This window comes from Homo sapiens, chromosome 1, assembly GCF_000001405.40.
Source record: "Homo sapiens chromosome 1, GRCh38.p14 Primary Assembly".
Classification (NCBI taxonomy): Eukaryota; Metazoa; Chordata; class Mammalia; order Primates; family Hominidae; genus Homo; species Homo sapiens.
The window spans coordinates 185902760-185929349 of NC_000001.11; the positions used below are offsets into that span (position 1 = coordinate 185902760).

General features: G+C 34.6%; 1 protein-coding gene across 4 annotated transcripts in view, besides 1 other annotated feature; it reads left to right on the plus strand.

Moving 5' to 3' along the window:
- HMCN1 (hemicentin 1) overlaps window positions 1-26590 on the plus strand; it is a 456559-nt gene that overhangs the window by 168369 nt on the left and 261600 nt on the right. For all 4 annotated transcript variants that reach the window (NM_031935.3, XM_011510038.4, XM_024450118.2 and 1 more), the window contains exons 5-10: window positions 6578-6749; window positions 8915-9021; window positions 19620-19740; window positions 20631-20894; window positions 22288-22432; window positions 25787-25908. In NM_031935.3, the coding sequence (NP_114141.2) occupies window positions 6578-6749; window positions 8915-9021; window positions 19620-19740; window positions 20631-20894; window positions 22288-22432; window positions 25787-25908 (931 nt within the window). The remainder of the gene's footprint in view (window positions 1-6577; window positions 6750-8914; window positions 9022-19619; window positions 19741-20630; window positions 20895-22287; window positions 22433-25786; window positions 25909-26590) is intronic.
- Window positions 14898-15192: a silencer, noted in NCBI's record as "tiled region #5860; HepG2 Repressive non-DNase unmatched - State 24:Quies, and K562 Repressive DNase matched - State 24:Quies". NCBI's record gives its function as "represses a minimal TATA promoter and a strong SV40 promoter by Sharpr-MPRA in HepG2 and K562 cells {active_cell/tissue: HepG2 | K562}" and the evidence as "EXISTENCE:reporter gene assay evidence [ECO:0000049][PMID:27701403]".

The following is a 26590-nucleotide window of genomic DNA, read 5'->3' on the forward strand; positions in this document are numbered from 1 at the left end:
AGCGATAAGACCATAACTGGCATATATGTATGTATATACATATGTCTACATGTATGTGTGTATGCATATGAATGTATGTATCTATGTATTTTTATAACTTTTTTCCTTTTAAAACTAGAAAGTTTCAATGGAAGAATTGAACTCACTGAGATTTGGCCATTCTAAAATAGGTATTTAGTAGAAGAAGAAAAAAAAAACATGTGAAACAAGCAAGCAAAAAACCCAAGCAAACAAAAAAAAGATTCAGTGAGAGACATGAATGACAAAAGTTAATTTTCTGTATTTGTATTATTTTAAATAAAACATATTTTTCTGGCAAGCTAAATTTTCTCTCTCATTTGTAACACACTGAAATTGTGACACAAAAATTTTATAAAGATAAATTAATGAAATATACCTTGACACTTTAAAATAACTAGCAGGAATGATTTCACTGTTCATAAATGTCTAAAGTGTGCTTTTATTTTTTTCGGCTGTTGTGTATTATAAAACTTTGATCATGTAGAAGGTGTGGAAGTTTTACATGAGTATTGGGTGCTCATTGAGTTGAAATTGAGAGTTCCTCTTTTCACTAATCCCCTCTAGAGTCCCCACTGAGCCCAAATTTTCTAAGCCATTCCAATTTCTAAGCTCCTCCAGAGAATAGTTTATCCTCTATATAAACTGAGTAAAATTTTAGTTCCAGCAGAAAGTCTGTTTTTTTTTTAAATCCTGTAAATTATTTCTTATTTTGCCTACCTTTAGCATGAGCATTTATGGCTATACAACACATCACCAGCCACACTTGTTTATGAGCACTTACTATTGTTAAAACTCACTGTAGAATTTTCTAAATTAAATAGGTACACAACACCCAAAGAGTAATATAAATGGGTATTATCAGGGGAAGACCCTCTCAAAAGTCTCAAGTGGTGATATTTCTTGGTGGATTAGCTAAATCTGCCAACCATGACACTGGATTTGTCAGCCTCTGTCTGAGTGGATCCATCCTCAGGAATAGACTTGAACTAACCAAACTTAGAGGAGTGCTGTATAAAATCTGAATGCCAGCTCATTCATCTACCATGAGAAATCGAATTGCTTGCAAGTCTAGAACACTTGTGTTGGCACAAATAATACATTTCCTCTCTATAGGCACACGTACAAAGAGCAAATCATCATCTGAAATTTGCCAGCATCAGGACAAGGGGAGACTTGCTCCCAGGCTCTTTTCTGAGCCATTATATATTGATGTTTAAGTTTATTTTCACGGGATGATGTATATCTTCCTTTGTCTAAGTTCTTGTGGACAGGGTCTGCAAGGGGATTCATGGCTTTAAATTCCATTAGATCAGTGACCTGAATCTTTCAAATGAACGACAGATTCAAATCTCTGAGTTCCTCCATCATATTCCCACCTGGGTGCTCAATAAATGCTTAGTGACTTCTAAGCAAAATTGGAAGCATAGGCTCTATGCTATACTGCAGGATAGGAATGAATTTGAACCCAGAGAGATAGGCTCTTCTGGTTATCCAGAGGGGAATCTCTCTTAGCCAGGTTGGAGGTTTGTAAAGCCTGCCATTGCTATAACATAGGGTTTACTACAAAATGATTGTTTTGGAAATGTGGCAAATCTTTTTCATATCAAATACCATATAGATTTAAAGGCTTTAATATTTTTATATAGTGTAACTCTTAACAATTTGGTGCCAAAATAGTGATAAAAATATACAGCTAATCTATTCATTATGTTTGGCATGCATTTCATTTTAAAAACACCTGCATTAAATTTTTGTTTTTCACTAGATATTATTTCAGATTCACTCTTGAAAATTGTCATTTTTTTCCTAATGCTAACTCAGAAAATAGAAAGTGAAAGACAAGATTATGGGATCAACAGGCAAATGCTGCCTTCTTATTAGCTGTATATCTTATGAACTTTGGCATGTATCACTCATTTTTATTCATCTGTAAAATGGAAATAATTGTAGCTATGTACCTATGCAAATGGCAGTTGTGAAGATCAATATAAGACTTTAAGAAGTATCCATCATCTAATAAGCACTACTGTATGCTTGCAGGTGTTAGTGTCAATTTTACACAATTTTTTTTCTAGATCAGGCTTCACTTACCAGATGGATGCATTTACACCTAATCAACTTTCTACCATCACTGAGCTTGAAAAATCTCTATCCAGTGTGACTGAGAAAAATGCATGCATTTTTGCATTTCTTAAAAACTGGCTTAATTCTGTGAAATTTTCCTTTGCATTTAAAAATCCTAAGCTAACCAACTAAATAAAATAAAAATTAAATACAATGTGATGCTAACATTTAAAACCATGCATACAAGTTTGAACTCTATTCAGCTTCAATGCAGAAAATTCAGTGCTGAGAAAGGACTGTGTCACAATTGCACATGGACAAAATACTGCCTTTTAGCACACATTTAACTCCAGGGAAAGACCTGATATAAAATTCTTCCCTCCCTCCCATTTTCTCTCTCTCTTGTCCTTTTCTTTCTTCTTTTATCTCTCCCTCCCACACATATTTAATCAGGAATCTTCTATATTTCATGTACTATATTAGGTTCAGGGACGATAGTAGTGAACAAATCAGCTATGGTGTCTGCCCTCATAGAACTTACAATTTAGAAGGAAAGTCGGATAAAAAATAACAACAGCAACCACAAAAATACTAATAAAGGCATAATTGCAAACTGTATTGAACACCTCACCATACTTCCCCTTTCTTGCCAGGAAGACAAAGGATGTCCTGGGGAAATTCATTTGGATGTAATGCATTACATAAGAAATGCTCTTCCAAACAAAGCTATTCTTCAAGTTCTGTTCACGAATATGTATGTAAAAATTGACTTCACTTCTATTCCTAATGTCTTATCATTCATAATAATGTGTGATGGTTTTGTGCTTTAAAACTATAGTTGTATCTTATTTTAGAGTTGAGTAGATATATGGACTATTTTTAAGCATTGGTTATAGCATGGGCTGCAAAATCTTTATGAGACTATACAAGGGAATTATGTAAAAATATAACTATTGAGCCAGAATCCAACTTGTTAGAGTTTTAAAGGTACGAGAACTCTCAAATATCAGTTTCCTCATCTATCAAATTAAGGAGATGGATTAGATGGTCTCAGAGGCCCTTTGTAGATATAAACTGTTACAAATTGTCAGAGAACCATTTTTATATTAAAACATTTAATGTACTATATAAACAGTTATCTAGGGATTTAAAAAGCTTTTGTGTTGATAAAAATGCATAATTTGTAGGCTCTCACATTATTCTAGTTTTATTCTTTTTTCTTTATAATAGAAGATCATTTCTAATCTCATGAGAACTTTTCTTATAGTTAGACAATTACAGATTTTTAATTTTCTTGTATCTGGCACCCTGAGAAGCCAGAAACTGCACTTATGGTACATTCTGTAGCTTGCAGTGATCTACTTTTATTCACATATTGGTAGTATCTGTATTTTCTAATACAACGAGTTGCATCTGTTTTCAATTTGATTTTTCTTATAAGTGGATAAAAAAAGTGATTTGAGATTCTTGACAGAAGTCTGCACTATGTCTTTCCCAACAAGTAATATTATGATACATGGTAATCCCTTTGTGAAAGCCTCATAAATGTTGGTGAATTGGAAGCAGTATTAAGAGTAAACCAAAGCCCACTTATATTCTGTACCATTTGAACACACTTGCTTCACAAAAATGCAACCAAATTAGGAAGACTTCCATTTTCCTATGAATACTCAAGACTTGGAGACTTCCATGTGTAACTAACAGACAACAAGATAGCTTTCCAACAATATATCATAACCTCTCTGCATTGGGTTTGAAGGAAAGATATATTTGTAGAGCCACCCAGACATAGACTATAAATTTAATGAAGGATGTATGTAAAAAATGACTTCCATCTTTATTAATGCCATTTCATTTCATTATTAAACTTGAAACATCTCACAATTCTTGCTGGTACTTGTTTTCTAATGTTTTTTTTTCTTCTTTTCTATTGAGAATCATTTATGACCAGATTATGTGTGTTGTCCTTAAAACAGATATTCTGTCCATTTGTTTACTTTCTCTCCTTTGCCCTCTTCAGTCTCCATATCAGGCATTATCCTCAAAATTATTTATTATCAGTTAAATTTATAAAATGCTTTCTGAGGCCCAACAACAATCCTTTCTATTTTTTTTTTTTTTTTTTTAGTTAGGCAGACCCTTACAGCCATGTTTTATGTTGACATAAAAATGTCAACACTCTGATTATTAAAGTATGTGTTCTATATATGGTCAATGTTAGTTACAGTCAGTCTGGTCTGTAGTCATATGGACGGATTTGATAAGCCGAGTGATCCATATCCTTCTCTTCAAGCATGATAGATCATTAAGAACCCATTTTTCAAAAATGGCATCTGCTTCTTTAAACAAATATGTTTTATTTCATATGTAAAATTCCATGTGCTTTGTAAGGTTAAATTTTGAGGAAATACATCATTTGATTTATGGGGCAATTAGTTGTATTAAATTTTGTTTTTTTGCTCAATTCATCCGTGATGACACTACAAATTTTTCTTTGTAAAACATCATTTCAGTGTGTCACTCCTCTGCTTGAAGCCCTTTAGTCATTTTCATTGGGATCTCTAGGATGAAATCCAAATGTCATAGCCTGACTTTATGACCATCCATTGTCTGGTCCTGACACAGGCTTCCAGCCTCATCTTCTTCTTTTTTATCTGAGCACTTCACTGCAGCCAGATGTAGTCACTCATGTTCTCAACATATTTGGAGTACTTCGGTCTCTGTCTCAGTGTTCTTGCTCAGATTCTCTCTTCTGTCTGGTTTGAATTTGCCTCTTTTTTTATTTACAGAAAACATTTCTGTCTTTCATAGTCAGATTACTTTACTTTGCCTGTGAAGCCATTGCTGAAACACTTCAGCAATGGCTGAAACAACTAGGGGAAGAGAAGGGAATTTAGCTGGGGAGGGAGAAAACTAAGATCGTGTAAGTATGTGGACTGTGAAAATACTGTGATGGCATTACCATGTGGAAGTACTGTGAGGGCATTTTACATACATTTTTTCAACAGCATTTCTTGTATTATGAATTTCTTTTATTTATTAAGAACATCAGTATTATTACCATTATGACCAATTTCATTGACATTAGTATATACCCACCTTTATTATGTGTAGAGCAAAACACTTTGTTTTGGATGCACAAAGAAGTAGGAGATATGGTTTTTGATACTGGAGCAAGGACAGGAATTTTTATGAAAAAAAAATAAGAAATGCAAAAACATTCAGTAAATCTGAGTCCTAATGACTGAAAGTGTGGTCATCATTACTTAGTACCTGGAAAACCATCTTGAACAAAAACATTTATTTTATGATAAATGTGATTGTTTCATATTGTTATGTGATAATAAGTCTTAGATGCTTCCCTTATCCTTAGGGGGAAAGAAACAGAAAAAAAAAAGGGATACTTTTCACAGAAAATAAAAATGTTGCACAGTATTTATTGCTTGGTTACTTGAAATGTGACCACTTACACCTAAATTTCAAAAAATGTTTTTGTTTATCATTAATAGCTTGACTATAGCTTAATATCCAGCTCTGTTCAGTGTCTTATGCCTCATTACAAAAGAAAATTTTCATGGTGATATGCAGTCTTAAAAGATACGTAAACCAGAGAAAGATGAGGTGATCAAAGGTTATCATGACTAAAATTATAAGATCATCCAAGGAGTACCTGCCCAGACATGCACCATTTGTCTAAAGGGAAATTATCTTTGTTAGTGCAGAAACTTTCTATGGATTCAAAGTTTTTCTTGTTCACAATGAGGCATTAACACCTTTTTAAAACCCAATTTCTTTATGATTTTTAAAGACTATTTTTCAAGAATACACTACTTGGTATTAAATTCTAACCTGAAATATTTTTCTATTCTCTTTAATGCAATGCTTTTCCCATTATATTGTTACTTATTCACTTTATTATAAAAATGACTCTTTTAGTGACATTGCAATTATTTTTCTATAATTAGTATGCTGTAATATATTATAATATACTATATATAATTATAATATAGTATAATACAATAATTAATATGCCCCATTTACTGAAATTGGATTTGATAATTTGCTAAGTGGGTTTCTTTTACAAATTGCATCTGGAAGAATAAAATCTGGAAAGAAAGAATGGAAGAAGAAGGGATTGCACATGTTAGCACTATTATGTTTTTAAATAAGTTCTTATCTCTTGAGACAGCGAACTGTCAATAATATCTCTGCATGTCTCCCCTCACTGGTTTTGTACACTATAGTCTCATTTTAAATGTATTATTCAAGATAGAAAACTTGAAATTTGAACATGGGTTAAACCAGCATTTTGTTTTGAATGTACACTAACCAGAATTAGAAAGAGTCCTATCTTCAGTAATGACCGAAATAAATTTCACACCAGTCCAGGATGTGCCGGAGTCATTTGATCACCCAAAGGACCTGAAACAGCAATGATATAAAACTGCGAATGTTTTCTGATATCACTTACACTTCTCTTTCTCTCTTATAGGTATTAAAATGGGTAGAAGAAGCAGTACAGGCCTCCAAAGTTCACCTTTTATCCACAGATCATTTGGAACAGGCTGTAAATACTTGGAGAATTCCTTTTGATCCCAGCCTGAAAGAGGTCACTGTGTCTTTGAGTGGGCCTTCTCCAATGATTGAAATTCGCAATCCTTTAGGTGAGATATATCAAACATCACATAATAAAATACAAAATACATAGAGGGTAAAATACTTTTCACACACTTGTTTTTGTCAAGTTAATGCCAACTTCATGAATAAATTCAATAAATTCAGAAGTGGCTAAGGAAGGTGTTTAAAAAATGTAACATTTTGAAAGTGCTAACTATTGTTGAATTAACATGAGATGCAAAAAGTTAAAACTTCTCGTATTTAAAGAGGTCAGATGTAGTATACTAATTATATTTAAATGATCCAAAATAAAAATATTTAAATAAAACCTGAAACTTTATATGAGGAGATATTTTACAGTAACTTACTCTGTCAAATTCAGTATTTTACATTATTTTTAAATGGCTCACACCAAGTAACTCTTAAAATAACTAATTTTCCACTCTATCATTTTCTTGATAAATTTTAATTTTACAGAAGATATTTGTTAAAAACCAAATTTATATTCTTAGTAAAGGGAACTTTTAATAATTCACTTTGCCTCTTAAGTATATTTTATAACCATATGATTTGTTTGGTACCATTGCTAGTTGATAACTACAATAAGATTTACATCAAATAACAATCTAGTAAAGACAGAAATCTTTAATCGTTTCTTAACATTTTCATTTAGAAATATTTTTTACCTAATATTTGCAAAATAGTTATATTTCCACTGTGGCTTTAGTTGCATTTTTTTCTCTATATTTATAAATAGGGAAGGGGATAACTGGTTTTCTTACTTAAATAACTAATTTCCAAAAGAAAACAACCTATGAAATTGTTCTCAGAGGCCACAAACACATTGAAATTTACAAGACAAATACAACGTCTTTCTCAAGACTTATACAAGTTTGAGCTTATAAATGGATTTTCCTGTTGAAGTAGCATTCTACTGCAATAACATCCATGTTACCAAGGAAAGACTTGTGTTTTCTACTACCTGGAGACTCAGAGTACCTGTACCCATTGCATTATGTTTCTACTACTTTAAAAAGTCACTGGGCATACAATGATTGTAAAACTTTTGATTCAAACATAGGATGCTTATAACTTATTTCTTTCTTCCTTCTTTTTTTTTTTTTTTTGACATGGAGTCTTGCTCTGTCACCCAGGCTGAAGTGCAGTAGCATGACCTCAGCTCATTGCAACCTCTCCCTCCTGGGTTCAAACGATTCTCCTGCCTCAGCCTCCTGAGTAGCAGGGATTACAGGTGCGCACCACCACGCCTGGCTAATTTTTGTATTTTTAGTAGAGACAGGGTTTCACCATGTTGGTCAGGCTGGTTTTGAACTTCTGACCTTGTGATCTGCCCACCTCGGCCTCCCAAAGTGTTGGGATTACAGGCGTGAGCCACCGTGCCTGGCCTAACTTATTTCTTTATATAACTGGAGAAGTAGTCCATGGGAAAGTCAAGAGTTAAGTGAAAAACTGAACTGTGGCTTAATGCCAAATTTGCTTTTCCTCTTTTCTAAGTTCCAACTATTAGACACTTTAGATAAATGTCAGGTCAGTAGGCAATGGTATCATGCTACTTCATTGCACTGCCTCTTTTAATTATTCCTATGACAGATAAAAGCCTTCTCCTGTGCTTCATGGGAAACCGGTTAAGGTTTTACACTTTGTGTAAAGATATGCCCAGGGCTCTCATGTTAGTAATACTTTGAGTGCTCTCTAGAACGACATTTATTCTGGTTTGCTGTGTTTTCCATCTATTTAATCTAAATCTCTCTAGTGACTCTGCATAACATTTTTGGTAGCCATAGTAATTACTATCTAGGCTGGCTTCGGAAATATGATTACAGTCTGCTAATTGTTATTCTCATTTGATGATCAAGTCAGCATAACAAATAGTAATCCATTATTTCATAAGGTTTCCAATGCCTGGACACCTTAAAATTAAGTATATTTTAGAAATAAATAAAATAATGTTTTGAGCTATGGGTATAAGTGTCAATCAGGTCATAAGATACTGGAAATTGAATGTGTTTTATTTTAGCCACAGAACAGAAAATAAAGACTCTTTGGGTTAGTTTGCAGCACACTTTGGTAAAAAATGAGCCAGTGTTATTTGAAATTTGATCATGCTCTTAGTTTTATGTAGTGTTAAATTAGCTAATATACATAGCTGAGAGAAGGATTGTGCTTGTTACCTTTATGTTCTGTCTTTCAGGGAAGCTGATAAAAAAGGGATTTGGCCTGCATGAGCTATTAAATATCCATAACTCTGCCAAAGTAGTGAATGTGAAAGAGCCAGAGGCTGGAATGTGGACAGTGAAGGTACGGTTGTTTCACAAAGTTTGTTTATTGTTTTATTTTGAAGTTGGCATTTTTCATGAAGTATACACAATGGTTTTTTTAAACATACACTCTTGCTATCATGGAGAGTGCTTGTAATAAAAAGCAACGTACATAGGTGTTTGTAGGTGTCTTGATCACATGAATTTGGTAGTTTTCAGTTTGAGGACCATGAATGTCATCATTGCCACACGATACACTTACAATTCTCAGATAGTTTTCCTATCATCAAATCTGTAGATTTATTTTATTATCTACTTCATGCTTACAAAATAATCAGAGATGGAGCCAACACAGAATAACGGTTAGAGCCATAGGCTCTGTTTTGAAACTGCCTGGGTTTGAATCTTAACACCACGCCTTAACGGCTGCACTGCCTGGGGAGCAGAACTTCTCTGTGCATGGCTTTCCTTCTCTGTCATGTGGAGATGATAGTCACTGTCCTTTACTTTACAGAATTGGGCTGAGAATTAAATTAATATGATACACCTGAAATAGTATCATTTCTGTTTCAAAGCAAGCATTCAAGTGCTGTGTTGGCTTTTTTTTATTTGGTGGATTTCTATTCATTTTCTTCTTTAGCACAACGTGGTATTTATATCCTAAACTTATCTTAAGTGGTATATATTTCCTCTAAGAAAGCATTGTATTTTGGCAGTACGGAGGAAAAAATATACACTCAAAATTCAAGATACCATAAATCGGAGATCTAGTTCTGCTGCAGATTTTGTGTGTGTCCCACTGTGGCAGATGCCCTGAGTGACTTGCCCATATTTCTCAGGCTTTTCAGTGTACTTCCCAATCTAGTATCTGCATTTCTGTGTCTTGGAGGTTTTTTCCTAGAACAGGAAAAGGTTGTTCGGCTGAGGAATTAACACCCCTCGGGAGCAGCTATTAGCACCTGAAGGAACACACTCCAGGTGTCCACTGTGGGAACAGGCTTAAAACACACCCTTTGTGGGCCTCTTCCCATTCCTGTATTATCTCCTCTCTTCCTATTAGCATTCCTTCCAGCTGTCAAATAAACAACTTGCTCTAGAATCTTTCTGGGAGAACTCAAATGAAGATATCCTGTACATTGTTTACTCTTTCATTGTCTGTTTCCTTACATAAAAAATGGAATTAATGGGATCATACTTCAAATTATAGAGCTGCTGTGAAAATATGTGGAGCTGATATACCGTAGAAATTCAAAGAGCCATTTTTCATGCCAGTCAGTTTTTTTTTTAAAGAATAACTCCATTAATGTCCCCAGTTTAAAGAATGAATGTTTACCTTGTAACTCCATTCAAATCCTAAGATACTAGTTTTTTATTCTCAGAACTCTAAGCCCTGTAGGAAAAATAGACACTCTTGTGTAGATTATTTCAAGGTGGATAATAAAAGGGCATAGGTGAAAAGGCATGTGAAAGAAAATCTGGTAACTTCTTAATGAATGGGCCAGAAATGGCCCTTCCTGCCTGTTTTTTTTCCACCCAGTTCCTTGCACATAATGCCTGGTATTTATTGAGTGTATTAGATTGACGAGTTGTTTTGCTGCTACAATATTTTAAATAAATGTGGCCAAATTTTATGTAATGGTTATTTTGACTAACTTGCCAAAAATATCACTAGCATTGAGTCTGACTTTTTGTGACCACAGTAGGAAGGAATTAGAAGAAGTGTCGAGTCTCTTCATCCCTCAAATACTTTAATTTAAGCATGACTTAGCCAGCGGTGTCTTGAGCTAGCAAGTCCACTGGAGTAATTTTTTCTTGCTTTCTGAATATTGACCTTAAGTAGTCCATTATTGACTGTGAAATACGTGCACGTGAGGCCATTCTTCCATGTTAGTAGCAATTTATTGTGCAGTACTTGTACCTATTTCCAGGTGATTTGGACTGGTACCAGTGGTATTTCCTCTAGTAAAACTCTTGCCCAGAGGAGGGATATTGCATGACTGTTATTTTACCTTGTGCCTCACACAAATATTCATTCAGTCATGCATTCAATAAACATTTACTGACTGCTCTTGGCCATGTTCTGTGCTACTTACTTAATGGACATTACGCACATTTTAATTGATAATTAGAACAGAGAAGTAATGAGGATTAGTTCTATGAGTGAGCAGAGCCTTTGATCAGGTGATGAGGTGATGAGAACTCTGTTTAGACAAGTCTCTAAGCTCAGTCTCCTATAATTAAGGGAACAATAAAAAGACACAGTATCTATTATTATTTTATCTTAAATGTTTATCTAGCCTTCACCAAAAGAGCCTCCAGCTCAGATTTACAGCATTTCTAGTGTAGGATTAGTGCTAACAACAACTAAACAAAGAATAAGCATTATAATGAAACTTAAAAATAACAAACTTATTTTGCTTCTATATGAAATACCAAAAGAATGTATCAGGTTGTTACAAAGGAAATTGAACTGAATCTGATGACATAAAATATTGCTGTTGACTTTGGATTTCCCTTTTGGATGTCTAATGAATGATAAATGTTTTACATGTGCACTTTCTCAAGATGAGAAATGTCTGATATTAGATAGTGTTTCCCTGGTGCTATCTCCCATGCACTGGACTATCTGGAAAAGGTCTGCTCTATCACTGAAATTAATATTGGCTTTTTGAATGTTTCACATAACAGTTTTTATCCCAAATATGGAGAACGATCTATCTATTACTTAACTTTACCTTGAGGCTCAAGGACCACCCAATTGAGCCTCAAGCCAATCTTTCTAGTTATCTTCTATCACTTGTCTTTACATTTTTGTCAAATATAATTTTGTACTGTCTCTCTCCCCCCACCACATTCTCTTACCCCATGCTTTCTTTCAAGCTGTTCCTTCCCCTTATAATGCCTTTTCTTGCATTCTGACTTATAACTATCCCACAAAGTTCAGCTCAAATGACAAAACTTTCATCAAACTTTGTCAGATTTTTTTTTCCCTAAAATGTTCTTTTCTCTCTGGCTTTCTATTAAATTTTTCTGCACTTCCCTTTTGGATTAATTTCTCCCTTATATCATTTTTATTTCTGTACATATTTTCTCTGTCTCTTTTTCTATAGACCAGATTTTGCCACTAGTATATGCCACAGTGCCTGAGAAAGAACTATATAAATATTTATGAATAAAAATTAATACATTTATTCTGAGGATATCCAGGGAAGCAGGCAGAAGAACTGGTTTACTTAGCCTGTAGTGGAGGTGCTAGCATGGAACACTAATACGTTTACGATTTAAAATGATAAGAGAGTGGCAGTTTCTTTTCTTCTGTGATTTTTCTGGTAAGTACTTTACTGTTCCATCTTAGGGCACTTTCACTAAGCAGAGATAAAGAGTCAACTCATTTGTATAATTCACATAAGTACTCAAATATTTTAGGTTTCCTCTGATGCAGGTAAAGCATGTTAAAAAGAAGTAACTGGAAATAACATAAAGTTTTATTAAAAACAGAAGAGAAGATTGTTTTATGCTCCTAAATTTCCATTTGTAGGAAAGCTACAGATCATGGATCTTATTTCTGAGAAGCAATATGATTTTTCCATTCAGCAACTAATATAGAGTATTTGAATGTAACCACAGAAACTCTTGAGCCAAATTTTGTCCTCTGCTTTTTAAAGGAAACTCCCTGCAAAGACATTAAATAATTGTCAGCACCCAATGGGTTTAGGTGGTACAAATGTTTATATTAGTCTAGGATTATCAGTGTGATCATTTAATTTAACATATCCCCTGGGGTATGTTTCTATTAAGTACATTTGGATAAACTGTCTTTAGATAATCTCCCAAGTACAGAAGGGTGTGTACCCAACCGCATGATTATACTGGGATTCTGAGACTAGTAGAAATATTTTGGTTTTGGATAGTTATGTTGGTAGCCAGAGCCTACTAATGCCTTTTCTACTGGGTAAGGATATTTTAAAAATCATACTCAAGTGGCATAAGCTTGTTTAGGAATCATAATTAAATTAACCTTGAGTCTAAAAGGACCACACATGAAGATTATTATGCTGGCCTCCTATTAGTCTTTCCTGGTGACTCTTATGAATAAGCCTGTAGTCTATACAAGGTGTGTTAAGTAAATAGATTAGGTGTAGCATTAATGTTTTGGGTCAGTGGCATGTTTGATAATAGATTTTTCCTGGAAAATTTTCCAGTTTTTTGGCCTTCCAATATCGGACTGTCAACCAAATAGAATGCTTCCTTTATAAAAAAGACATGTGTACACTTAGGTACACATGCACATTTTTATGTATATGTGTGTGCATATGCGTGTGTGCATATGTGTGTGTGTGTGTGTGTATTTAAGTAGAATTTATGTTTTGGATACATTTCCTAATCACACATTTCTCCAAATGCATAATGCCCAACAAAATAATGGTATTTAAATCTAGCTTCTATGATTGTGTCTTTGACACAATGCCTAGCTCACAGTAGGTTCTTAATAAATATTTTATTGAAACCATCTATTCTTTAATTTGTAAAGAATTCAAAACTTAAGAGCAAATACTTTGAAAAGAGGTCGACATCTATTTGAATTCAAGATTCATTACTTAAAGTCTTTTTGTTCATGGAGAAATTACTTAACCTCTCTAAGTCTGAGGAAAGTGGGGGAAAATAGTGGCTACCCAATATTGTCATGGTTAAATGAGATATTGGTAAAGTGCTTCAGCAGTTTCTGACACATGAATTAGTTGTTACTAAAAATGTTGACGCATGAATTCTGACACAGGTTAATTAGTTGTTCTCTTGAATACATGTAAATCATACATTGTATCTTTACTTTCTTTTAATGCATATACACTGAATTTTTCTTTAGTTTTTGTGTTTGTCTTACTTTGGGCACATTTACTATTTTATAAAACATTGAAACTCTGTTGGAGAGAGAAAAACCATCTCTATCAGTCAAATTTTAATTCAATTTATAAAAGGTAAGGTTTCATATTTAGTGCTAGGAGGAATTCTCCCTGGCTTAATACAAGAAAGTTAATTCCTCGCTAATGTTCTGTGTTCCATGGGGTCTGGTAGAGTATTCTGCTTCACAGTCACTCAGGAACCCAAGCTGATGGAGGCTCTGCCATAATTTAGAACATGCAGCATCTTCAGTCACTTAATGAGGAAAAAACCTGGAGGATGTGGCATTGAATAAATAAAAAGAAATTTGTGTTACTTCTGTCTCATCCCAGAAGTGACACATTTCACTCCCTTATTACCCAGTAGGCAAGCTGTTATCATGGCCTAGTGGTATACTAGAGCTAGCTCATAATGACTCATGGAGAGTCAATGATACATTTCTCTTCCTAGCTCTGTGTTCAGCAACATCATGTTGGGAGCTAGGAATCAGCTATGATGGGAATATTTACACCACAGAAATTGAAAAATGCCAAAAATTAGGGTTTTTTTTGTTAGAGGGGAATTTACTAGCACCCCACTGACCTGACTTTTCCTAACTGAAAAGGTACTCAGAAACATAGAATGGCAAAGAAATAGTTGGAGAATATTATTGTTTTCTATGCCATAGGGTGCAAATCTACCTAGAAATTATGTTATTCTAAAATACCATGCACAGAGTTAGGTACCTGAGAAAGGCGTTGAACTTGGAATAATTGCCATTTAAGTTGCTGTCTACACCTAGGTAAATATCATTTTTTTGAACCTCTGTTTCTTTGTAGTGCCATAAAATTATCTTTGGACATAACAGGGTTTTAAGAGATAACGTGTGAACATACTTAGCATAATGCATCTAGAAACATTTAGTGAATTCTTGATGAGTATAGCATTAGCTGGTCTGAGGAATATCTAAGAAAAAACATCAACACTAGGCATGTGGATGGCTTTCATGTCATTTATTAAACCTACAAAACCTACACTTATCACGTGCCAGCTGAGTGACATTCTGTGGGTGATGAATATGAAATAGTTACTGCCTTGAAGGGACTTTCAATGTAGGCAGGCATTTAACAGGCCTTCTTCGCCTTTAAACTAAGAAGTAAATCCATCTGCAGTAGAGCTGACCAGGAAGATCTAAGCTGAGATCTCAGAGGAGCAAGTAATTTTCCGCTGGAGCTCTCCATGGTGCTTGTTCAATTGTCCTTCAGCCTGTCCTGCTCCTTCATTCTTGGCAGTCTCACTCCAATTGAGAAACCTAGACTCTGGTTCACTCTGCTCCTTCTTTTCCCTTACTGCATTGTAGGTCAAGGCTACCTATTTACAACTTTAGGATACCAATATATTATCTCTGTATTAGGGTTCTCCAGAGGACAGAAATAATAGGATATATACATATATGAAAGGGAGTTTATTAGGAAGAATTGGCTCACACAATCTCAAGTCAAAGTCCCACAATAGGCCATCTGCAAGCTGGGGAAGAAAGAAGCCGGTAGTGACTCAGTCCAAGTCCAAAACCCTCAAAAGCAGAGAAGCCGACAGTGAAGCCTTGAGTCTGTGGCCAAAGGCCCGAGAGCCCCTGGCAAAGCACTGGTGTAAGTCCAAGAGTCCAAAGGCCGAAGAACCTGGAGTCTGTTGTCCAAGGGCAGGAGGAATGGAAGAAAGCATCCATCATGGGAGAAAGATGAAATCCAGAAGACTCAGCAAGCCAGCTTATCCCACCTTCTTCCACCTGCTTTGTTCTAACCGTGCTGGCAGCCAGCTAGATAGTGCCCACCCACCTTGAGGGGGGTCTTCCTCCTCCAGTTCACTGACTCAAATATCAGTCTCCTTTGGCAACACCCTCACAGATGCACCCAGAAGGAATACTTTACCAGCTATCTAGGTATCCTTCAATCCAATCAAGCTGATACCTAATTTTAACGTATCACTAGTATAACCTCATCTTTGCCAAACCGTGACCTTACCTCACATCTGCTCACACTGCAGCAGCCTGTGTATTCCTGACTCAGACCCCTTCACAACTTAATGAACGTGATACTACTCACTCAGAGGAGTAACGTGGCTCATTATGTACGTTTAGAAATTTTATGAATAAATTGACTTTGAAACACAACTCTTCCTAGCTCAGATAAATCCTGTTCAACATCTAATATCTAGAAAGTTTCCTGTTATTCTCTGAGACTGAATGCTGCTGCTAGATTTCCCTCTTCTTATCTACAGAAGCCATGAGGTTAGGGTAACTCTGCAGGAGTAATACTTCAAGACATTCTGTGGTGGAAAGGTGCTTTTTGTAGCCATATTCTAATTTTAATATAACCCACAGGTTGAATCTAGATGATAAAAAAAGACCAAATAGAAAGACATTAAGATAGTAATTTTGGCCTCACTAATTTTAGGACATATATATATATATATAATTTTATTACATTTATAAAAAATTTATTAAAATGGCTAACATAATTTGGAAGAGAAGGGAAGGGAAAGAAATATGGCTGGACCTCCTCTTTGCTTGACTCAGTTACAGAATTAGCTTAATTTTCTTTGCCCCTCCAAGACCTTGGTGTCATTTGGTTCTCCTCTAACCCCATCAGGTTCATAACTCATGAGACTCCAAAGTCTTCTCCCAGCACTCCTGCAGTTTCCTAAAAGCTTTCTTGCTTATGTTCTCATTGCCTTCTGATTATTTGTGTTGATTATACCTTTTTGTACTTTGATGCAGGGCAAAACTCAGCCCCTTCAAAATATCACAAGAAATCTAGCAATAGCAAGCATTCTGTGAATTTGGTAGATTTACTCGTAGATTTGGGGGCTATGTCAGAAAGCACCTTGTGCTTTTCCTGCTCTTTCCTTGGCCACCACCCCCTTGCCTCCCCAGTACATTTCTCTGCTTCTTTCCTCTGGATAGTCCCAGAAGTTCCATATAACTCTCCTCCTATTGTGTAAAGCAGTTCAGCATATTTCAACATTTACCCTCAAACCAGCATAATTAAATTCATTGAGATCATCATGAGAAACGCGTGGGGTAGCTGTAGAGTTTGGTTTCTGGAGCTTCACCGAGTTCAGACTCCAGCTTTGCCACCTGCTGTATCTGTTACTTTGAGCAAGTCACTTAACCTCTCTTATTCATGAAGTGAAGATGGTAATAATACTCTCTCACAGGGACTTTTGTGAGGATTAAAAGTGAGAATTTGTATAAAAAATTAAGCTTTATATATAGTGTGCATTTTGTGCACATTAGTGCTTTTTTCTCCTCCCTTTTCCATTTATTGGTGGGTTATACCCTCATACACAAAACCTGTTTGTTTCTATTACACTAATATTTTTTAAAGGGAGCTTAGACAAGAAAGAGGTGAAAACAATAGCTTACTTTAATAGATATCAAACTATTGGCACTTTCTCATGAAGAAATTTATGTGGTGTTTAGTGTTCCTAAAATACTGTTCAAGTATTAGAATTCTTTTCAGAGAACAATTAAATAATGATAAATGCATGAATTAACATCAGAGGCTATTTTAATACTAAGCTGTTTTAAAAACTTTAAATTAGCTCATTTTTTTTCTTTTTATTGTATGTTTAAACCAGTGTTAGTTTATTTGGGATGTCCTTTGTTTCCGTTACCCTGGTTAGCCCAGAGTTGGATTAATTGCATATAAAAATGGACTCACTTGAAGATATCTTTTATTTACAAACACTTAAATTCATCAAAGACATTCCTACTGTCTACAGTATAGTATAGACACATGAAATTAAGATATTTTGTTATTTATTACTCTTCATATTTTAGCAGAGCAAAATACTCTTCATATTTCCTCAGAGAATAGTAAACCTATATTCTTATTTTGCATACTTTATTACTTGGTGTGGTCTTTGAAGGATCAAAGTTAATTTTTATTACATTAATTTTATATAATTTATAAGGGGCTCCCTCTTCATCAAATCTACTTTAACGTGTTATTTAGTAATAGATGTTAACATATTTTCAAACACTTGTATAATTTCTGTTTTTTTTCACTCAGCTATTAAGTACCACATTGTTGAAAACCACCTTTGTTAGTTGATTTATGCACAGAACACTTGGCAGATGATTAGCACTTAATAGCAGTCATTTGGCAAATTACGTGTCATATTTGCCCTTAGTAACCTCAACAGCTGTTTCATCATAAGGGACTTTCTGAGGAGCAAGGCAACTAACAGTAATATATGATGTTAGTGAAAAAATAAAAATTAACTCACCGTAAGATCAAGCATTCTGACTGACTTACATGAAATTAGTAGGTGATAGTGTCTTCACTAAAGCTCTACATTATCTAAAGAAATTGACATTAGAATTACCAAAGTTTTATACAACCCTACAGGAAATCCCTGATTTAAAATTGAGTCATGATCCATAGTTTCCTTTTTTAATTTATTATGTGGAATTCATAACACATATTCATTGACAAATAATGGGATAAGGGTTGTACTAAGATCCCTACACTTACACATATAATCTTTTGTAACCTTTATGCAAATGAGCCATAGTAACTAGCTGCATCATTTATGCTAAGAATATAGCAACAGCTTTCATGATGATGGGTTTTTTTCTTCTTTCTCCCCTTCATTTTACTACCCTTTGAGTTCTTGAGATTCTGCTCAATGAGGAAGAAACATGGTAGCAACAGGGACAGATCTTCTCTTCCTTCTTCTCCACATTGCTAAATAACAAGGAGTTGCAGTGATTCAGGGAATATTGCGTAGTTTGCACAGCTCTGGAAGTGGCCCACTGGTAACCATGGTGTGTGAATTCATCTGGCTGTCCACCAGATTAAAATGTATATACACAAATACGGCTGTCTACCAGATTAAAATTTATATATATATACTTCCAGTGCATTCTGTCATTGCTATAATACCTCAATATGTGCCTTCTCAGTGTTGAGTTTGAAATTGATAATTGGTACATTAGAGTTGTGTGAATTTTTTCTTTCACTCCCATCTCCTACTTCTACTTAAATGCTGGAATTATGTGGTCATTTTATTTTGAGACAGAATCTTGGTAATCTATGTAATAAAATAATGGTGAACTCTTGTTCATAAGTCTTAGGTGGTTTTTGAAATGCAAATTCCTAGACTGCCCTGACCTAATATTCAGATTCAGTAAATCTAGGCTGGAGCTAAGGACTTTGCATTTTTAATAAATGCTGAGTGCCTTTGCTAGAACACTGCTGAGCTGAGGATGCCAGGTTGCCAAAATCTGAAAATGGTCGGCTCTATTGCTTGCACTGGCTGCAATGTCCTAGAGGCAAAGAAGAAATAAATATTTTCTAGAATTGAACCTGGATGTATTTGTGGAAGAAGGTTTCAATATTTGCTAAACATCTACTATGTTAACAATAGTGACCAAAACAAAGATCCATACCCTCATGGAGCTTTTACAGATTTATTTCCAGCCCATTCACTAGTGACTAAACCCTTACATCTTTTATCATTAGGCATGAAACATATTACTGAATTGTTTTTTAGAGCTGTCCCCATGGGGTATGTATTACGAAACTTGCATTTAAAATATAGAATCCTAGTTATGTTGAGAACATCAGATCAGAGCCTCAGTTTTTGGACATCGATCCTAATTAAATATTGTGCAGTTTCCCATACTGGCGAGGGTTGCATATGACCAGCATACTGGATCAACTGCTGACCAGGTTTGTCATTAAACATTTTCAGACCTCAAGCAGTGGAAGGCACTCTGTTCGCATTACTGGCCTCAGTACTATTGATTTCCGAGCTGGCTTTTCTCGAAAGCCCACCCTGGACTTCAAAAAAACAGTCAGCAGACCAGTGCAAGGTTTGTATGTGCATATTATTTAAATTGACATAATAGATATCCAAATGAAAAATATTTCTCAGACTGTCTATAATTTTATAATTTTGTAGTATTCAATAAAATTGAGAAGCATAGCTTTAAATGTGACTGTTCTCTTGGCCTAATCACTTTCTCAAAGTGTAATCCCAAGACCACTGATATAAAAATCACTCAGGATGCTTGTTAAAAATTAAGATTCCTGGACCCCACTCCAGATCTCCTGAATTAGAACCATGGAAGGTAGGGCCCAGGAATATGTACTTTAGTGAGCACCTCAGTTTATTCTTACACTTACTAAATTCTGAGAATTACTAACCCAGATCTTGAGATTTTTTTCCTTACCGAAATCTATAAATTACCTATTGTCAAGGTAAAATGTGTGTATATAGCTGAAAAATTAAACACGTCACATATCATTGTATTTCAAAGATAAAATTATTGATTTTTAAACCTTGTCCTCCTCTCATTTTATTCATACATTGAGATTTATAGTTTTCTAGCTGAAAAGAAGCTTAACTATAATGTAACAGTTAAAATTTGTTCATTTATTTTTATTGCTGCATTTTCTGGAAAGATACAAAATAATTTATCTTTAAAAGTATTCATGTGATCAAACATATAACAATTTTCACGATTCTAATTTTTTTTACATGTAAACATAGTTAAAATACTATAAAAGTTATTTCTTAGGATTTCCTAAGTTTCTCTGGTCATGCATAAACTGTCTTTTATGTAGAAACAATTCTGCAACTGATCCAGAAATTGTAGGCATCCTTATGGTACTCATATATTATTATCATGCAAATACTTATTTGATATATAACTTCAATTGCTTGTTTCTTGTAAATGATAACAAAATCTTTCTCTTGTAGGAATACCTACCTATGTACTGCTCAATACTTCTGGAATTTCCACTCCAGCTAGAATAGATCTTCTTGAACTTTTGAGTATCTCAGGAAGTTCTCTTAAGACTATTCCTGTTAAATATTACCCACATCGAAAACCTTATGGCATATGGAATATTTCTGACTTTGTACCACCAAATGAAGCTTTCTTTCTCAAAGTAACAGGCTATGATAAAGATGATTACCTCTTCCAGAGAGTATCAAGTGTTTCCTTTTCTAGTATTGTCCCAGGTGAGACATCATTTTATTCAACATTGAAATATTGACAGTTTAAGAGGGTGATGTTGTCCCATAGGTAAATAACGGACTATCAAATAAAAAATAATGTCTTCATATTATTACTGCATCACCAAATTGATGGATATTTACATGTACGGTAACACAGTTTTTCTTAGCTGTTAAATAGCACATCCAAAGTTTCATGTTAAGTCTCACTGATTGCAGATCTGAGAATTTTGATTAGTCAGTGTAAGAGCTGGAACTGGAAAATTCTGGTACTATCTTTTCCCCTAAAAAAGCCAGGCAGATATATTTGCTTAAACTATCTAAATTGGCTAAATGTTTATATACAATTGTCAGAAACTTTCTGCTCCATAGATGGTAGTTCATAGTAAACAACAGGTGATCACTGCCTTTATTTGTCTAGTTGATTAGTTAGCTAGTTAATTGTACATTTGCTACTATGTAGAGAGGAGATTACAGGTGAGATATTATTTGGAAGCATCAGGTAGCATTTCAGCTTAGCTGTACTTGAGCTATTTTTCAAGGCTCATGACTGAACTCTGACCCAATCTTTTTTTTTTTTTTTTTTTTTTTTTTTTTTTTTGAGACGGAGTCTCGCTCTGTTGCCCAGGCTGGAGTGCAGTGGCGCGATCTCGGCTCACTGCAAGCCCCGCCTCCCGGGTTCACGTCATTCTCCTGCCTCAGCCTCCCGAGTAGCTGGGACTACAGGCGCCTGCCACCTCGCCCAGCTAATGGACTGATAAAGATACAGAATTGTTTATAAAATTGTATAGTACTATTAGTGCTATTAGGTGGAGGGACGAAAATTTATCATTTATACATAAGATAGTGATTTGGGAAATTCAGGAACAATTCTATAGCTATTGTTGAATAGTTGTAGAGTGGTAAGAATAGAACCAACCTCAATATTTCCTCATATACGATATTCAAATTTGGCTTAGCCCCTAATTTGCTACAAAATCTGATGGATTCCTAAAAGTCATTTTTTACATTTATTTTGGAAAAACAATTTGATTCTGAGATATGTGGGTTCTTAAGTTTTTGAAATAAAAACATATTCTAAAATTGATATATTGTTGCTTATTTGGTAGTATTTTTTCTATCTTGGTGGTACAAAAAAATACTATGTCTTAAAAACTATGATGTCTTAGATTCAATGAATACTGTAGTAAGGGGCTCATAAAGATATCCAGAAATCAACCAATTTTGAACAAATAAAGATAGAAAAAGTAATTTTTAGTGATCTGGGTTAATTGGAATGCAGAGGATTTACTGGAATAATTTAAGTATAAAGATTTTGAATGGATTAAGAGGCAGTACTTAACATCATTGTGACCTTCTTGCTTAAGTTTTTTGTTTTTGTTTTTGTTTTTTTTCCTAGATGCTCCCAAAGTTACGATGCCTGAGAAAACCCCAGGATACTATCTGCAGCCGGGCCAAATTCCCTGCTCTGTTGACAGTCTTTTGCCCTTTACCTTGAGCTTTGTCAGAAATGGAGTTACACTTGGAGTAGACCAGTATTTGAAGTAGGTACATGTTTCTGTCAGTAATAAGATTCAGCATTTAACATGTAAATATAAATAGACTATTATTGCAGTGTACTTTTTCACTGAAAATTCTCACTTGCTACATAGTCTGGAATATAGCAGTGAACAAAATGGACACAAATCTGTGCCGTTGTGGAGCTTATATTGTCATAGATGGAGACAGTAAACAGAAGCTAAATATAATAATATAATAAATGCTTGAACATATTCAAATGTTGACTCATGTGTTATAGAATCTGAATGTTTTTTAATTTGTGGGTCTGTTCTTAAGACAAATACAGAATTATGAAAATGATGTTAAGTACAAAATCTTGAAAGGAGACCTTGCAAATGAGAGGTCCTGAAGCTTTAGCTTTATTGGCTTCATGGTAAAAGTGTTTCTGAATCTGATTTAAAGTGTTATGATAAGTGAATCTGGTAAGTGTAGAGCGGGTTAGTTGGGTTGAATAATGCCGGTAGGTGGAGTGGATGTAGCATTGGCCAATTTGAAATCCTAAAATTCAGAGTAAGGGGCATTGGAGCAAAGACATAAAGATGCCAAGAAAGATGATCAAAAAGGTATCCAGAGAAGGGTATTCAAACACCAGGAAGAGCAAGTGCAAATGCATGAAGGCTGGAGTGGACTGGGCATGTGGGAAAGACAGACAGGAGGAGGCCAGTATGGCTGAAGCCCATTGAGCCAGGAGGAGAAGGGGAGCAGAGAAGGTCAGAGAGGCATGGTCTGTGCTGCAGGTGAGTGACAGGTGGGTCACAGCAGGTGTGGCACCTGCATATAACAATCAGCAGGAGTAGGCTAGAGGCACCGACTTTTCCTTGTGAAGTTGGGTAACTTTTTTAGACAAATACTAGTAATTTCATGATAAAAACTAAGCAAACCTTGAAAACTGGAGAAAAATATTTCTGGAAAGTGTTGCCTTTTAACTTACTGTGAAACAAACAACATTTTGGGAAAATCTCTGGGAATTATTGTTTTATCAGACTTTTATACTGTTAATTCAATATCAACATAACTTCCATAAGATGTTAAATGTTTGACAGTCTCAGCTTATACAATCGCTTTATGGGGAGTCATTTTAATCAAAAATTTATGGCAGGAATATTCATCATAACTAGGACATTTTCTACTCTTAAAGATTAAACTGTATTATTTCCTGCCCCTTACATAGTATATCTTAATGATTTATTTAGCTGTGTATTTAATAACCAGCAACGTAATTGACCGGGATATAAAATGATGAAGCTACATAACTAGCTGGTGAAATCAAATAATTCTGTTTTATGTTTAAACAGTAACATTTTTCAAAGACACATGAGATTCTTTAGAAACATTAATTCATTAATTCCACACAGTTCCTGGGAGGTAAGCCATGAGAATTCTTTTTCTCATTTTTCCAGCTCTGTGGCCCAGAGATATGACATGCTTTGCTGACATGTATTAAGCTCTTTGGATGTGACAAGTTAGAGACAAAATTAGGCATGAGTGATGATAGACTGATACCCTAATCCTGATTCACTCTCATGTCCCTGCCCTAGATTTCCTAATAACATGAAACATGTGACTTAATGTTTGTTTATGTCAGTCACTTTGGTCACCAGGGGATGTAAGAGAGAATCCGTTTGCATTAGCAGCAGGGTGCATTTTTATTTGACGTGTTCTTTTCCGTATTCCAAAGTCTACCCTTCAAAACTTTTTTAATTATGTCCACATAGTGCTTAATGTCAACTGAGAAGGCTCCATGAAAAAGGGAATTATTTTCATGTAACATTTCATCATCAAGAAAGGAACAAGTATAACTGTAAAGAACATTCTTCAAGCATTTAGTAAACTGGTTGTATGTCTTTGGACAAATTACTTGTCCTTTCTGTATCTCAACTTTCTCATTTTTAAAAAGGGATTCAGAACCCAAAGAATCGTCAGTTTCTGTTCTAAAATTTCCATCAATCTGTTTTTGATGAATTCTAATGTATGCTCAGCTTTTAAGTAGGCACTGAAGAAAACACCAAAGATGTATGTATTCCAAACCCCTACCTTGCTGAAACTTACCAGTACCTCCTAGATGATGACATTTACAAATTTGTGCTTAGTATACTCCTGTTAAGCATCGAAGATACAGCTTACATGATCAGTGTGGTATGGAGTCAAGCAGTATTCTGCTTTTATTCTGAAAGTGACAAGAAGAACCACTGGCATGTAGTGCCTACAGAATTGAAAGGAAGCAATGTTTAACTAAAGTGAATTTTCTCAGCTACTAAAACATATGGATCAATGACCTTGCTTTGTTTCTCACTTTCCTAAGGCACAGAAACCTGTTTTAACTTTTTCTTACAAACCCTAGTTGTACCAAATACGAGTTAAGAGCTCAGTAAGTTCTTCATGGTTTTTTGATGATAAGTATGGTGTGTTTGGATGGGGAGCGATCTAGAGATATCACCATAAGGTATTATATTTTATACCACTTTCAGAATTCAGTGGTAAGTCTCTTGACTGCAGTGGGCTTTTTGCCTTATCTATATCTTGATTTTTTTAAGGTTATAAGTAGCTATAGATGATACGGGAGAAAAAATTATGAAAACATTTTTGACATTTCAGCCACACTTTAAAACAGGATAATGCCTATTTTTGTAGATCATCGAGCTCTTTGAAACAGATTAAATATCTATTACTAAGATACTTCCGGAAAATGAGAAATAATTTGAACAGTGTTAGAGGGCAAATAATAAATATTTATTAAATGAATGAATACATAATATAGTAGAGGGATTTTTTTAACCTACATGATAGAGTTTAACTATAAAACTGATCATTTGTTTTCATTTCTCATTGTGTATGTAGGTTGAATGATATATGGCCTTATATCTTATCTAAGTGGAGCTTATCTAAAAGAAAGTTAAGGAGAATTTATCTTCTTAGAATCAAAAAGTAGATTTCCTACCTTCAAATTTGTATATTGCCTAATTAAATTGCTTTGTCTAAGATTCCTACTGACATGACCAAAAACTGGAAAAAATAAAAGCAGAGAGGATTAATGAATATTTCTTTGCCAGCTCTGTTATCTTATATTTTGACATAGCTAGAAAATATTTCTCTAAATAAATTTTCAATCTCTATAATTATTGTTTATGTTGTGTCTTTTGCTCAGAGTAGAAAAGCCTCATTTTCTAGTAAAATATAAATGGTGTGTCATTTTAAGTTAAAAAGAACTCTGCAGTTTTATCAATTTATTTTCTTTACATTGTTCTTTTGAATGAACCTTCAAAAGAAATAGTTAATCATTGCTTTCAACTTGGTCTTATTTTATAGTAACTAAAAGTTTTCCATTTTCTTACCTCCAGAGAATCTGCCAGTGTGAACTTAGATATTGCAAAGGTCACTTTGTCTGACGAAGGTTTCTATGAATGCATTGCTGTCAGCAGTGCAGGTACTGGACGGGCACAGACATTTTTTGACGTATCAGGTAATTACCACTAATTTCTTTGCAGTTGCCCAAGTATTAATGCAGCTATGGAAATGGGATGTTTGTTAACCAGTTTGTGTTTATACAATTGTCTTTGCGATTATTTTATTATTGTCTATCTCTCCACTGAATTGAGAACTCAAATCCTGTGCTCACCATGTATCAGATACACGACTCTCCTTGGGCTAATTGTTTAAGAACTCAATGCCTTGGTTTCCCTAACTGTAAAAGAAAGCATAATAACAAGAACCGTCTCATGGGGAAACTGTGAGGATTAAATGATATGTAATATATGCAAGGCACTTAGAAGAGAGTCTGCCACAGAGAAGCACTTAATAGACATTAGTGATTATTATTATTGTTATTATCATTATTGTCAGGGATTAATGAATAGTTTTTGAAATGATCATATAGCATTTTCCCGTGAGAAAATAAAGTTTAAGTGAAGGATCTATTCTAATCAATACAAGGTTAAATGTTCCCTTTTCCTCTTCCATATTCATAATGAGCAGAGCACTTTTATGAATAGATTCTGACATTTAAATGGAAGATAATAATGAAAATGATTACATTCTAAGAACACAGGACCTCAGTGGCTACAATATTCGCACTAAGACGGGCAGAAGTAATGCTAATTATTTTACATTCAGATAGTATGTTTCCTATGAATAGATGGGAGATA